Source organism: Homo sapiens, chromosome 2 (assembly GCF_000001405.40).
Source record: "Homo sapiens chromosome 2, GRCh38.p14 Primary Assembly".
Lineage (NCBI taxonomy): Eukaryota > Metazoa > Chordata > Mammalia > Primates > Hominidae > Homo > Homo sapiens.
This window is the reverse complement of record NC_000002.12, coordinates 84,588,372-84,604,248: the sequence shown is the minus strand read 5'-3', so window position 1 is coordinate 84,604,248 and position 15,877 is coordinate 84,588,372. Positions and strand designations below refer to the sequence as shown.

Below are 15,877 nucleotides of genomic sequence, written 5' to 3'. Positions count from 1 at the left end.
TGGAAAAGAGCACCACTTACCCTCTTTCCACAGAGCAAAATCTGGATGACTGCAAATTAATGACTCTAATTGAGCCTATTAGAAAACCAAGTTTGCGGGGGCAGAACAAACTCCAAATTTGGAGAGAGATTGATACCGACAGGTTTCTCCACAAGGAGAAACAGCAACTGAAAATTTTCCTACCTGGGGCAGATTCCTTGGGATGACATACAAACTATTAAGAAGATTCAGCTAAATTTTAAAAATAGAGCGCTAAATATTAAGTGCGGGGTAGAATGAGAATGGAAAACCTCTGAGCCTACAAATACAGTGGAAATTGACAGTGAAGACTGAAAGGACTCCCAAGAAAGCTTCCCTTATGATGCTGGCTTGGGGAGGGAAACAGCGTCCATTATAGTAGCTCCAACAAATTTATCTGCCTTAGCTCCCTTGTGGAACAAATCCCTTGATGTACAGGGAAAAGAGTAACAAACTGTGCCACCTTAAGGCACTAGTGATAACTCATTGAAGATATCTCTTCCTATAACTGGAGGAATAGAACATGGAAAAAAACAATTTACCCTTGAGGGAGGGACAAAAATAAGTGCTAGGCTCAGCACTATAGCTGGAAAAGGGGGAGGAGCACCTGTGATAGGAATTCTGAGAAAAAGAGTTACAGTGCCTCGTAAGATGAAGGTTTAATGAGAACATGAGGGAATGTTCCTTCTCACCTCTGCCACCATGTTATCAAATACTGAGTAAAAATAGCAGTGGGATACAGAGTGGAAAGCTGCGGGTGACAGATTCTCAGTGAGCACAACACAAAGGGAAGACCCAAGGTCAGAGGAAAATAGAAATTGAGAAAATAACCTTTGGTAAACCAGCCCCACCCGAAATTCGAGGTATCACTAGAAAAATCTGAAGCCTGTGGTGCACTGAGGGTAACCATAGCAACATCAACCCTTAAACCTAGCCCAATTCCTAATTAGATTTAATGCAACATGTTGCACAAAAATCCAAGTAGAAGAAGAGGCATGCTCATTTCCAAGCACAAATATTATTTGCTTTGGTATTTACTGTACTATATAAGATACCTGGCTTTGAACAAAAAATTAAGATGCATGTGAAAAGGCAAGAAAAACCACACATCTAAGAGGCAAGGCAATAATCAGACCCAGAAATGACACACATGTTGGAAGTAGATAATTAAAAATAACTATGATTAACATGTTAAAGGTTCTAATGGAAAAGATAGAAAAGCAAAATCAGTTGGGAAATGTCAACAGAGAGGTGGAAAATACAATTACAAATCGAACAAAAATGCTAGAAATAAAAAAAACAGTATAAGAGATAAAGAATGCCTTTAAAGGGTTTAACACAGCCACGGAATGAATGAACTTGAAGATAAGTGAGTATAAATTCCAGAAACTGACACACAGAGAAAAAAGAGGGAAAAGAAAAAAAAAAAAAAACAGAGCATCCAAGACCTGTGGGACAATGTCAAACAGCCTAAAGTACATATCACAGAAATCATAGAAGGAGAAGAGAGACAGAAAACAGAGCAGAAGAAATGCTTGAAAAATAACAGCTGCAAAAATTTTCAAAATTAAAAACAAACACCAAATCACAGATCCAAGAAACTCAGAGAACATCAAGCAAAATAAATTTGAACAGTAACAATAGCACATGCACACCTAGGCATACTCTACTCCTAACTGATGAGAATCAAGATGAAGAGAAAATCTTGAAAGTAGCCAGACCAAAAAAAAAAAAAAAAAAAAAAAAAAGGGACACAACATCTATAGAACAATGAGAATTTAAAACTACAGCAGACTGCTTGTCCAAAATCATGCAAACAAGAAAAGAATACCTCCAAATTACTGAAGGAAAAACAGAAACAAAAACTGTTGTCTCAGAATTATATACCCAGTGAAAATATCATTCAAAACTAAAGGATAAAGACTTCCTCAAAATAAAAACCGAGGAAATTAATCGTTAGCATACATACTCTATAAGAAATATTAAAGGATATTCTTTAGGCTGAATGAACATGTTATGAGTCAGAAACTTAGATCCACACAAAGCAATGAGGAACACTGGAAATGTAATACTGGTAAAGTAAAATTCATTTTCTTTCTTATTTTTATTGCTCTAAAAGATAACTGTCTGGAGCAAAAACAGTAAAAATAAGTTATATTTATAGTATATGTAAATATAGACATAACATCAGCACAAAGAATGTATGGAGGAATTAATTGGGTGTGTACTATTATAAGGTCTTTACAGTACATGTGAAATAGTAAAATAATTGATTTGGATTAATTATAAATCTATATTTTAAGCTTAGGATAACAATTTTAAACAATTTTCTAAAAAATTGCTTCTAAAAATTATTGAAAAAGTGGTATGAATGATAATCTCATTGAGAAGATAAAATGGAATCATAAAATATGCAATTAAATTAAAAGGCACAAAAAGAGAAAAAAGAAACAAAGAATCAATAGAATAAATAAAACAGCTAGCAAGATGGTAGATTCAATCCAACTGTATAAATAATGACTTTAAATGTGAATGGTCTACACACACCTGTTAAGGGACTAAGAATGTCAGACTGGATTAAAAAAATAGGAATCAATTCTATGCTATCTAAAAAAACCTATTCTAAATATAAAAACACAGATAAGTTAAAAGTAAAAAATGCAGAAAGCCATATCACACAAACACTAAAAGACAGCTGAACTAGCTATGTTAATTTCAGAAAATGTAAATGTTAGAACAAGGAATCTTATCAGAGATAAGAGAGAAAATTAATAATGATGAAGGGGTCAATTCCTCAAAAAGAAGTAACAATACTAAATGTGCACATGTCCAACAACAGAACATCAAAATAAATCAAGCACCACTATCTTGAGGTGGCAGTATCATCATAAAGTTATTCACTCATTCATTCAATCACTCATTTATATCAGTATGAATTCATGGATATTTACTTTATAACTTGGGTTATAATACAATACTACATTTTTTTTTGCCTAAAATTCTTATGGCTTTGGCCATTAAGTCTTCCTTGCCCTTTTGATATTCTCCCATCATTTTGTTTTCTGAGCTCTTTCTTACTTCCCAGCACCTCAAGATGCTCCAGGTTCATCTTGTATATTTCCTGACTCATCCATATAATCAGCCATTTCTACAAGGATTCCTTATAGTATAATAATAACATTATTATTATAGTATAATAATAACATTATTATTATAATATTATTATAGTATATTATTATTATTATACTATAATAATAATATAGTGTTATTATTCCTTATAGTATTATACCTTATAGTATTAAAAATGAAAATCTGGATACAAATTATGCTCATTGCTACTGGGGTGTCAATGCTTTTAGGAGGTGGAACAGAAATTTCCACCCCTTAAGTATGGCTGTGCGTAGTAACTTCCTTTCAAAGAATACAGTATGGAAAGGGCAGTAGTAACTGTACAGTTAAGACAAATGCTACTTCAGCCATGTGGTCAAGCTGAACACCATCAGTGAAAAGTCATGTTGATAGCATGTATTTTGGATATGATGTGATGAAAATGGTACTTTACCTGTCTTGTCTTCTTTGTAAGAATCTATAATTCCAGTGTAATTATGAGAAAAATCTCAGACAAATCCAAATTGAAGGATATTATACAAATTACTTGACCAGTACTTTTCAAAATGATCAAGGTCATAAAAAACAAGGAAAGTCTGAGAAACTGTCACAGCCTAGTAGAGCCTAAGAAGACATGACAATTAAATGTAATGTTTTATCATGGATGAAATCTTGGGATGGAAAAAGAAAAGGATGTTAGGTAAAAACTAAAAAAACTCAGATAAAGCATGGACTTTAGTTACTAATAACGTATTGACATTGGTACATTAGTGGTGACAAATGTATTATACTAATGTAATATGTTAATAAAAGAAATGGAATGTGGAGTATATGGGAACCCTTGGTATTATTGTTATAACTTTTCTATGAATCTAAAACTATTCTGAAATAAAAGTATATTAAAAAATGCATAAACTGATAGAATGGAAAGGAGAATTAGGTAAACCCACAATTATAGTTAGAGAGTTCAACACTCCTCTCTGAGTCCCTAACAGAACAAGCTGGCAGAAAATCAGCAAGGGTATAGATGACCTGAACACCACCACCAACCAAGTCCACCTAATTAACACTTGTAGAATGATCACTGAGCAACAGCAGAATGCACATTCTTCTAAAGTGCATATGGAAAATTCAACAAAATTGACCATATTCTGGGCTATAAAACAAACCTTAAAAAATTTAAAAGGACAGAAATCATAAAAGTATGTTTTTGGACCATAAGACAGTTTTATAGATATTGAGAAGCTAAATATAAAATAGATATGGAAAGGCAAAGGAATTAGAATAGACAAAATAATTGTAAAAAGGAAGAACAAAATTGGAGGATTAAGACTACTTGATTTCAACACTTACTAGCTATCGTAATTAAGAAAGTGTAGTATTGATGAAAGAATAGGCTTATAGAACAATGAAACAGAACAGAGTCCAGAAATAGACTAAAAAATATAGTCAATTGACTTTTGGCAAATGTGCAAAGGTGAGTCAATGGAGAAGAGTGCCTGGGGAGGATAGTCATTTCCAAATAATGACTGAAGAAAAAATAATCATTTCAAATAATGCTGTTCCTTTAATTGGATATAATATGTACAAAAGTACACCTTGATACCTCATATTTATGAAAAAATTAACTCAAAATAGATCATATACCTAAACATAGAAAACAAAACCTTTAAACTTCTAACAGAAGAAACATAGAGAAAATATGTGTGACCTTAAGTTTGAAAAAAAAGTGTTTGGATACTATACTAAAAGCTTGATTCATAAAAGAAAAAAATTATAAATTAGAGTTTATTGAAATTAAAACTTTTTGCTCTGTGAAAATCACTGTACAGGAACTGAAAAGACAAGCAACTGACTGGAAGAAAATATTTTCAAGTTACATATCTGAAAAAAAACTTTTATGCAGAATATATGAATAACTCTTAAAACTCAATTATAACCAAGCAAACAACCCAATTAAAAATGGGCAAAAGATCTGAACAGACATTTAATCAAAGAATATAGATGGATGGCAAATAGCATATAAGAAGATGTTCAACATTATCAGTATTTAGAAAAATGCAAATTATGACTTTTTTTTTTTTTTTTTTTTTGAAACTGAGTCTCACTCTATGGCCCATGCCTGAGTACAGTGGCGCAATTTCGGCTCACTGAAACCTCCACCTCCCAGGTTCAAGCGATTCTCCTGCCTCAGCCTCCCAGGTAGCCAGGACTACAGGCACAAGCCACCACGCCCAGCTAATTTTTGTATTTTTAGTAGAGACGGGGTTTCACCATGTTGGCCAGGATGGTCTTGATCTCTTGACCTCGTGATCCACCTGCCTCGGCCTCCCAAAGTGCTGGGATTATAGGCATGAGCCACCGTGCCCGGCCAATTATGACAATTTTAAGACACTACTATCCATTGGTTAGAATGACTGAAATTAAAAAACAAAACAAAAAGGTCCCTCAAAATAACAAGGGCTAGTGATGATGAGGAGAAACTGGAATTCTCATAAATTGCTAGTGAAAAGCCAAAATGTTGCAGTTCTTTGGAAAACATTTTGGCAACTTCTTATAAAGTTAAACGTATGCTTACTATACAACCTAATAATCCTACTTCTAGTTATTTACCCAAGTTAATAGAAAACTCATGTTCACACAAAACAAAAAGCTGTACATGAAAGTTTATAGCAGCTTTATTAAAAATCACTACAAAATGAGACAGAACTCAGATATCTTTCACCAGGTGAATGGATAAACAAACTATGGTACATCTATATAACAGAATACTAGAAAATAAAAATAAATGAACTGGCTGGGCATGGTGGCTCAGGCCTGTGATTCCAGCACTTTGGGAGGCCAAAGCAGGAGGACTGCTTGAGCCCAGGAATTCAAGACCAGCCTGAGCAACACAGTGAGATCCTGTCTCATAGAAAGAAAGAAAGAAAGAAAAGAAAGAGAGAAAGAAAGAAAGAAAGAAAGAAAGAAAGAAAGAAAGAAAGAAAGAAAGAAAAGAAAGATAGAAAGAACCACGAGTTCCACGAGTAACCACGAGTTCACTTTCTCACTATAGATTTCTTTATTCTGGACATTTCATATAAATGACATATGCTATCTGGCCTTTTTTTTTGACTGGCTTCTCTTACTTGCATCATGTTTTTAAATTTTTTATCTTATTTGTTTGCAGACATCAGGTCCCACTATGTTGTACAGGCTGGTCTTGAACTCCTGGGCTCAAGTGATCCTCCCACCTTGGCCTCCCAAAGTATTGGGATTACAGGCATAAGTCACCTCACCTAGTCCAGCATCATGTTTTTAAGGTTCATCTATTCTGTTGCACATACAACTTAATTTCATTTTACTACTGAATAAAACTCCATCATATAGATATGCCACATTTTATTTCTCCAATTTATTAATTGATGGAAATTTGTTTTTTCCCCTACTTTTGGCTATTATGAACAATGCTGCTGTGAACATTTGTATTGAAGTTTCTGCGTGAACACACGTTTTCAATTATCTTGGCCATATATCTGGGAGCAGAGTCACTTGGTAATATGGTAGGTCTATATTTAACATCTTGAACAAACTGCCAGATTATTTTCCAAAGTGGCTGCACAACCTTACGATCCTACCAGCAACATGTGGAAGTTCTAATTTCTGCATATTCCCTACAACACTTATTCCTATATAATCTGTCTCTTTGATCATAGCCATCCTAGTGAGTGTGAAGTGCTATCTCATTGCAGCTTTGATTTGCATTTCCTTAATAACTAATGGTGTTCAGCATCTTTTCATGTGTCTTCTTTGGGGAAGTGTGTATTCAAATCTTTTGCCCATTTTAAAGGGTTATTTGTCTTTTTATTTGTAAGAGTATGTTACATATTTTAGGTACAACTACATAGAGGGATCTTAAATGCATTTTGCTGAGTGAATGAATCCAGACCCAAAAGGCTGCATGTTGTATTATTTCATTTATATAATATTCTGTAAAAGGCAAAACTATAGAGACAGAAAACAGATCAGTGGTTGTGTGGAATTGTGATAAAGGGAAAGGCTGACTACAAAGGGACAATACAAGCAAATTTTTAGGATAATGAAATTGTTCTGTATGGTACTATTGTATTGGATACATTACTCTACCCATTTGTAAAAACCCATAGAACTGTATGCCACAAAAAGTGACCTCTACTGTATTCAAGTTTAAAAAAATATAAACTAGGATTTCGAGGGAACCCAAGATGGAATGCAGACTTTAACAAATAAATTTGTTTACAATTATATGATGTAATCACACTAAAGGCAATAAAGAAAGAAGCTGACCTAAACAACTTGGGAAAGTGTTTTGACTAGATATTGTAAGCTAAAGGGAAAAATATTATGCAAATAACACTCTTTTCAAGCTGGAAAATTTTCTTCTCATTGTGTCTGAAGCTTTGCTTACTTTTCTTCTCCACATTTGTTTTTTTTTTAGTTCTTTATTTCATCTTTAAAAAAATACCCTAAAATTGTCCAGGCGCAGTGGCTCACGCCTGTAATCCCAGCACTTTGGGAGGCCGAGGCAGGTGGATCACGTGAGGTCAGGATTTTGAGGCCAGCCTGACCAACATAGTGAAACCCTGTCTCTACTGAAAAAACACAAAAAATTAGCCCAGCGTGGTGGGTGGCGGGTGCCTATAATCCCAGCTACTCAGGAGGCTGGGGCAGGAGAATCGCTTGAACCCAGGAGGCCGAGGTTGCAGTGAGCCGAGATCGTGCCACTGCATTCCAACCTGGGCAACAAAAGTGAACAAAAAACAAACAAACAAAACAACAACAACAAAAAACACCCTAAAACTGTTTAAAAAACTAAAATCATATCCCGTTTCTTAACCATTTCAAGCACTGGCTTAGCTGAGATAGTTTCAAAAATTCAGACCTGTACACCTGCAGCCTGGCTTCCCAACTTCCTTCACATCATAGCACATCTGGAAAATGGCATAGTTGTGTGGTGCACTGATGCAAATGGACAAGGCCGATTGGACAAGTCTACCCCAGCCTCATCTGGCTCCCTAAGGGTTTGAGCACATCAGTATCTTAGCATAACTACAACCTATTCCTGCACTATTTCCCTTACCACTTGGGAAACACTCTGAATGCCCCTCCTAACCACAGTATTCAACTGCATGATTTGGCCAAATGAAGACAGGAATGCAGTCTGTGCCACTGCAAAAAAATGAATTTGACTATTGTTTTTTCTGTCTGCAAAGCTGACTAACTTAATCAGGGAAAAATTCCTGATTTTGGTCTCATTAGCATCAATTAATAACCAACTGGCCTACAGTTTTTGAAATAACTTCTACCAACCTTACCTTTTCTTTCATTTTTTCCACCTTGTATTTGAGCTGGGGCACTACACTGTTGGGTGGCAAGCCTTTTTCCAGTTGAGTCACAAATTTAGCATATTTAGAAACTTGACCGTTTAGGACTTCTGGATCCAGGCAATCAAATTTGGACTATGAAAAATTTAAAAACAAAGCAAAACAAGTTAAAACATAAAGTAAAAGTCAGGTTTGAAATACTAAAAAAACTTTTAAAAGTTAATCCAAATCTACACTATGCTTTTGGAAATGGCTTTACTTATTAAATTGCTAATAACATTATATATCCAGCATCACCTGTTTATTCCTTTCATGTTCTTGCCTCCCACATCATCAAATGTAGTACTGGAATCTCCGTAATTTATTTCTGAGGGTCAATATTCATAAAGTCCTCTAAGGAGACAAATAGCTATTTTTTTACTCTTGCTAACCAGAAATTTCTCACCTAGTAGTCTTCTATTATTTGATTATATACCTGTTTAACATACATATTTTAAATTCATAAATTATTCATAAAATTATAGATCTATATACTTACAGATCTATAATTGTTTTTCTCAATTATGTAAACATATAAATATACACATATATTGACATGTCAGATAGCCACACATATATATTGATGGCAGTAGAAAATTTGTAAACCTTCATTTTTCTTTTTTTCTAAGTCCATCATTTTTCTTCTGCTCCCTAGTGTGTTTTCTTGTGCATTTCCTAGGGTGAATGCATCCTACGGTGGAAGCCACTGCTCTAATCCATGGTGGTAATCAGAAAATCCTTTAAGCTGCTTCTTCTCAAGAATATTTTCTTACTTCTGAGATAATTGATAAATGAGTTAAAGGAGAGCACTTAAAACTGTCTGGTGTTATAGCATATATTTGTTTTTTATTTTCTATTTTCTCCACCAAAGAGTTCTACGTTTGAACTTTGTTCTTCTTATTCTCCACTGGTACTCCCAGCACCTAGAACATTACCTGGAACATATTTCCCATGTTACTGTTTTTTAACCAAGACATGTGCCTTCTAATTATAGGCATCAGCACAGGAAGGATGAATAAGAAGTGTAAAACAATATTTGTGAGGTTGATAGTATTTCTAACATGTCCATACCACACTTGAAAGTATAGGTGGCCATCTATTTTGCCTTGTAGAGAGTTGACCTTTGTTAAGGATTGAATATAGGGTAGATCCTAGAAACAAAACTCTCTGATGGCTGTTGATATTTGGCTCTCTAATTTAAAAAGTTTACTATTGAGCTCTCAAAGGAAGATCCTAGATTTTATCACTCTATCCTATTACAGTGAACAAAATGGCTTCCTTTTTTAAAGGACAACAAAAATAGAAATCTAAAGTGTGTAGATCACAAATAAAATCCTACAATCCTCAAGAACACTGAAGTGTATGATGACAACATTGTGTTTAGAAACCACAAAGTGATTAAACGTCATACAGCATTGTCCATTGATGCTTCCACTATGTAGCCTTCTAATATGGAGCCTGTAGCATACAGTGACATAAGGACCTTTGTGCCTTTCACTGGAAAGCTTATAAAAATTATCAGAAAATGATACCATTGCATATTTTACTGACATTAAGAAAAGCACCAGATTGTTAAAAGTTATAATTCAAATTATTAGAATTTTAAGATTAATTCATACAAAAATAATTTGAGAACTGAAGGCTTTTTTCCCCTACCTTTAACCATTCTTGTTGGAGTTTATCCCATTCAGAGAAAGAATCCCAGAGCAATTGTTTGAGCTTCAGTTCAGCACTGACTTCTTCCAAAGCTTCAAACTTGGACACTTCTACCTTTAAAAATGTAGTAAACAAAATGCGTAATTTAGTTTTCAGATATAATGAGCATATGCTATTCTCCTATTAGTAATTCTTGGTACAGTGATTGCTTGGAAGAATGTGCATCCTAAATGGATTAAGAAAAGGAGCACTAGAAACAGATGAAGAAAAAAAAAAAAACTCCACAAAACCCCACATATATTAGACTTTCCATTAGAGAAACAAAATACAACTCCTGGTATTTCCTTAGAACTTAGAACTTAAATATTCTCCAAAGACATAAATATTATAAGAGTAACACTTTTTTGAGTTGGATTGTACATGCACATATATGTTAGGTCTTCTAGGGAAAGCAGATGAGTCTTTAGAGGCACTGATTTCCATTGGGCTTCTGTACTTAAAGGGCAGAAGAGGGAGATGACTGTGCGGTAGCTGGTGGGGAAGATGGTGAAGTTTAAGATGGAGAGGACAGCGTGGTTTCTGACTCTTTTCTAACCACGACTTTATATGAACCCCATGGAGAGGAAGGGTGCAAGAAAATCTGAAGAAGGTGTTTTCATGAGAAGTGTTTAAGATTGCCTTGGTTCAACGCTGGGGAAACCTTCAGGGAGTTGGTTGCACAGAAATTCTTGTGCTTTGACATTAGGAATTTAGTCTTGTCTTCTATTAAGAGTTGCAAATGATTTCCTGCAACCTAGATTAGTTAGGCTTTCACTCCTATTCTCCAAATAATTGAGAGCCACAGAAGGAAGGCTAGATCAGAGACAATCAGGAAGGAATCAGTCTTGAAGTCATAGACATGGAAGATGGAAGGAGGAAGACACAGTTTCATTTCAGGTTCTGTGTTTTTTAAAAATTTATTTTTTAACTTTTCTTTTTATTGTGGTAAAAAACACATTACATGAGATCTATTCTTTTAATAAATTTTTAAGTGTAAAGTACAGTAATGCTAACTATAACAATGTTAACAGGGTTATTTAATGTACTTTTTCTAGTACTTTTTCACCTGGCATAACTGAAACTTTATACACCTAGAACAACTCCTCATTTCCCCTTCCTCCCAGCCTCTGGAAACCACCATTCCACTTTCTGCTTATATGAGTTTGACTACTTTAGATATCTCATATAAATGAGATCATGCAGTATTTGTCCTTTTGTAGCAGGCTTATTTCACTAAGCATAATGTCCTCCAGGTCATCCATGCTGTGGCACAGCAGGATTTTCTTATTTTGCGAGGCTGAGTAAAATTCTATTTTATGTAGATACCATATTTTCTTTATCCATTCATCTGCTGATGGACATTTTAAGTTGTTTCCATATCTTGGCTACTGAGAACAATGCTGCAATGAACACGGGAGTGCAAATATATCTTTAAGAGCCTGATTCAATTATTTGGGATATATGCCCATAAATGGGATCATTGGGTCATTTGTTTTTTAAGTTTTGAGGAACCACCATGCTGTTTTCCATAGTGTTTGCACCATTCTAATTCTCATCTACAGTGTAAAGGATTCCAGTGTCTTCACATCCTTGCCAATATTGGTAATTCATTTTATTTTTGTAATGGCCATTCTAACAGATGTGAGGTGATACCTTCTTGTGGTTTGATTTTAATTTTCCTGATGATTATTGATGTTGGGTGTCTTTTCACATGCCTGTTGACCATTTGTATGTCTTCTTTAGAGAAATGTTCATTCAAGTCCTTTGTCCATTTTAAAAATTTGGGTTTTTTTTTTGGCTATTGTGTTGTAGGAGTTCCTTATCTATAAGGAGTTTAGATAATAACCTCTTATCAAGTATATAATTTGCAAATTTTTTCCCTCATTCTGTATGTTGCCTTTTTACTCTGTTGATTGTTTCCTTTGCTTTGCAGAAGCTGTTTAGTTTGATGTAGTTCCACTTGTCTATTTCTGTTTTTGTTACATTGGTTTTTGGTGTCACATCCAAGAAATCATAGCCAAGGCCAATGTCATGAAGATTTCTCCTACCTTTTCCTCTAGGAATTTTATAGTTTTAGTTCTTTTGAGTCTTTAACCCATTCATTTTGAACTGATTTTTGTGTAAGGGTTCAGCTTCATTCTTTTGCATATGAATATCCAGTTCCTTAACACCGTTTGTTGAAGAGACTATCCTCTCCCTGTTGTGTATTTTTGGCACCTTTGCCATAGATGCGTTGACCATATTTGTTGTTTTGCGGTTTTCCATTCTGTTTCATTGGTCTATATGTCTGAATGCATGCTAGTACCATACTATTTTAATTACTATAGCTTTGTAATATGTTTTTAGATTAGGAAGTGTGAGACCTTTAGCTTTTTTCCTATTTCTCAAGATTGTGTTGGGTACTCGAGGTCCTCTGTGGTTCCCTATAAATTTTAGAATTTGTTTTTAATATTTCTTTAGAAAATGTCATTGGGAAATTGGTAAGGATTGCATTGAATGTATAAGTCACTTTGGGTAGTACAGGTATTTTAACAATATTAAGTCTTTTAATCAATGAACATGGGATATCTTTCTATTTATTTGTGTATTATTTCATTTCTTTCATCATAGTGTGTGAGTCTTTTACCTCCTAGGTTAAGTTTATTTCTACTTTATTATTATTATTTTTGATTCTGTTGTAAATGGCATGATATTTTTTATGCTATTGTAAATTGTTTTCTTTATCTTTTGAATTGTTTGTTGTTAGTATATAGAAATGCAACTAATTCACGTAAGTTGATTTTGTATTCTACAACTTTACTGAGTTTATTTATTATTTTTAAATTTTTCCCCCTGGAGTTTTAGGGTTTTCTACATATGAGATGTCTAGAATATGCTGGATCCTGTCACTACTCCAAGACAGATGATATAGAAGTTTGTCCCTTGAGCAGTCCCCTGATAATGTATCACATTGGACAGCCACTTCAAATCTTCCCCTGTCCAGGTAGAAGCTGAGATTTGGGAATTCTTGCTTGCTTACTCTGCACTGAGTCAGGGGTTTGGGGAGGGGTGTTAATGGCTAGTGAGTGCAAACTGGTCGAAACTGTTGCTTTTGTTCTCAGCGGTTCCAACCTGGGGACCTTTCCTGTCCATAATCAAATTCAGGCAAGAGAGAAACCAATCTCTCAGCCAGACCCCTAAAGTGTCAGAATGCCATGTATTCCATCCAGTCTGTCTTTCCCTCCTTCGCCAGGGAGAAGCTGAGAACTTCCTCCTAATTGTGTAACACTGTGCTGGGGGCAGGAATTATAGTGAAAGGGTGTTAGGAATTATTCTACTGGCTTCCATCAGCTGATTTTATACTTGCCCAGGGTGCAAGAGACTGTCAACTTGCCTTTGTATTTCTGACAAAATAAATTGGTTCAGGGGTTGTTGAGTCAGTGTGTCCAAGGGAAAAAGGAGGGGCTGGGGCTTCATGCTCTGCCGTCTTGCTGACAGGACCAAAGATATTCTTTCTTGCTCAAGGAGTGCTCACATGTGAGTTGTAGCTTTTTTTTTTTTTTTTTTTTGAAATGGAGCCTCGCTCACACTGTCACCCAGGCTGGAGTGCGGTGGCACGATCTCGGCTCACTGCAACCTCCACCTCCTGGGATCAAGTGATTCTCCTGCCTCAGCCTCCCAAGTAGCTGGGATTACAGGCGCCTGCCACTACGCCCAGCTAATTTTTTGTATTTTTAGTAGAGATGGGGTTTTATCATATTGGCCTGGCTGGTCTCGAACTCCTGACCTCGTGATTTGCCAGCCTTGGCCTCCCAAAGTGCTGGGAGTACAGGTGTGAGCCACTGCGCCCAGCCAAGTTGTAGCTTTTTATCAAGTAGTATTTCCTCCATACCTTGCTCCTTACTACATACCTTCCTGTCTTGTAGGTCAGTTAACCCAACCTGGGAACAACTTTGAACTCACACAAATCTGCCTCAAGTATCACCAGCCTTATTGGCTGGTATCAAATTCATTATTTTCAGATTTCTCTACCAATCCCTGGACCCTGGAGTAGACAGCATATCAGATCACTTTCTGGTCATCCATCTGGGGCTCTGAAGAGACAGGTGCATTCCCCTGTGAGGTTCAAGCATGTTCCTCCGAGATTTTTGGGGAGACCAATGGCATCTTCCTTATTGCTAGGGGCTCCCTGGTTTTGACCATAGGAATATTTTCTTTTCTATTCTCTTTTCTTGTTGTTGGTCTCTCTAAAAGCCGTTGAAAGCACCTGCATCTCTTACCCCTTTCTCTTCATGTTTTTTGAGAGACTTCTATTAGCCTTTCAAATATACCTTTCTTTTTTTTTTTTTTTTTTTTGAGACAGGGTCTCACTCTGTCACCTAGGCTGCAGTGCGGTGTCACGATCTTGGCTCACCGCAACCTCCGCCTCCTGGGCTCAAATGATCCTCCCCGTTTAGCCTCCCAAGTACCTGGGACTACAGGCATGTGCCACCATGCCTGGGTAATTTTTGTATTTTTAGTGGAGATGTGGTTTCACTATGTTGGTCAGGCTGGTCTCGAACTCCTGAGCTTAAGTGATCCAAGTGCCTTGGCCTCCCAAAGTGCTGGGATTACAGGCATAAGCCACTGCTCCTGGTCCTCAAATCTACCCTTTTACACCCATTTGTCCCTGGCTTAGCTGGGGATGTCATTTTTATCAAATTGGCACATAAAACCAGGGTAAATCAGGCAATATTAATGGAATCATAACGTACATATGAATGTAAAGGAAGCCTGAATATTACTTAAGAAAGGATAGTGTGGTTTTAATTGACCACATTAAAAAATCCACTTACATTTTAACATAGAAAGTACAGTTCCTTGTCTGAAAGTTTTGCATAATTCACAATTATTTTAATAAGAAAGATATTCGGTATCTCATGTGTGTTAGTCTTTAAACACTTCGAAGGCAAGGAACATATCATATTTTGTATTTGAGACTATTTGTAGCATGCTGACTAGCACATAGTTGTCCAAATATTGAATGTTTACAGTTACATTATTGAAGTCCTTGTGCATATACGCCATTTCTATACACACATTTCTAAGACAGATGGTGTAAAACTGTCATTACCTTAAAATTCTTCTGATAGGACTTATACTGAAATGCACGTTTCTGAAGATCAGCCAGAACAGATTGCAGATTATTCAATATGAGCCTTATTTTGTCTTGGTCAGCAGAGATATCTAAAATCTGTGGATCCTATAAATTTAAGACAGTTTTTGGTTAGCCATTCCTGCTTTTTGATAAAGACCAATTAAATTAAATGAATTAATAAACATTTTTAAAAAGATTCCTTTCTCTTTTCTTTTTGATTTTTAGAAATGATGTTTAAAATTATTGTTTTCCTGAATTTTAAAGCAATGCATAGACATTATAAAAAGTACACATTTATATAAAGTGCCATGGAGATAAAATTGTTTTAAAACATTATCTAATATATTTTCCCTCATCTGCTTTCATTTCCTACACTTCTTCAACCAACATGACCTTAGATAAGGAGAGGTGAATGAAACAGGGAAGAGAAGGAAGGGGATATGATATACGGTAAATTTCCACTTTACAATAAAGGAATGGAAAGTCCTTTGTATTCTAAAATGACAGAAGAGAGAAAATGAAAAATATAAATGGCAAGACATGTTTTATGGCTGACCTG

General features: G+C 35.5%; 1 protein-coding gene across 14 annotated transcripts in view; it reads right to left on the bottom strand.

The window, feature by feature from the left end:
- The window catches only part of DNAH6 (dynein axonemal heavy chain 6), a 360,018-nt gene that overhangs the window by 215,341 nt on the left and 128,800 nt on the right, over nt 1-15,877 (bottom strand). For all 14 annotated transcript variants that reach the window (XM_011532650.4, XM_011532649.3, XM_006711956.3 and 11 more), the window contains 3 exons: nt 15,295-15,423; nt 10,164-10,277; nt 8,460-8,603 (listed from right to left, as the gene is read on the bottom strand). In XM_011532650.4, coding sequence (XP_011530952.1) covers nt 8,460-8,603; nt 10,164-10,277; nt 15,295-15,423 — 387 coding nt within the window. The remainder of the gene's footprint in view (nt 1-8,459; nt 8,604-10,163; nt 10,278-15,294; nt 15,424-15,877) is intronic.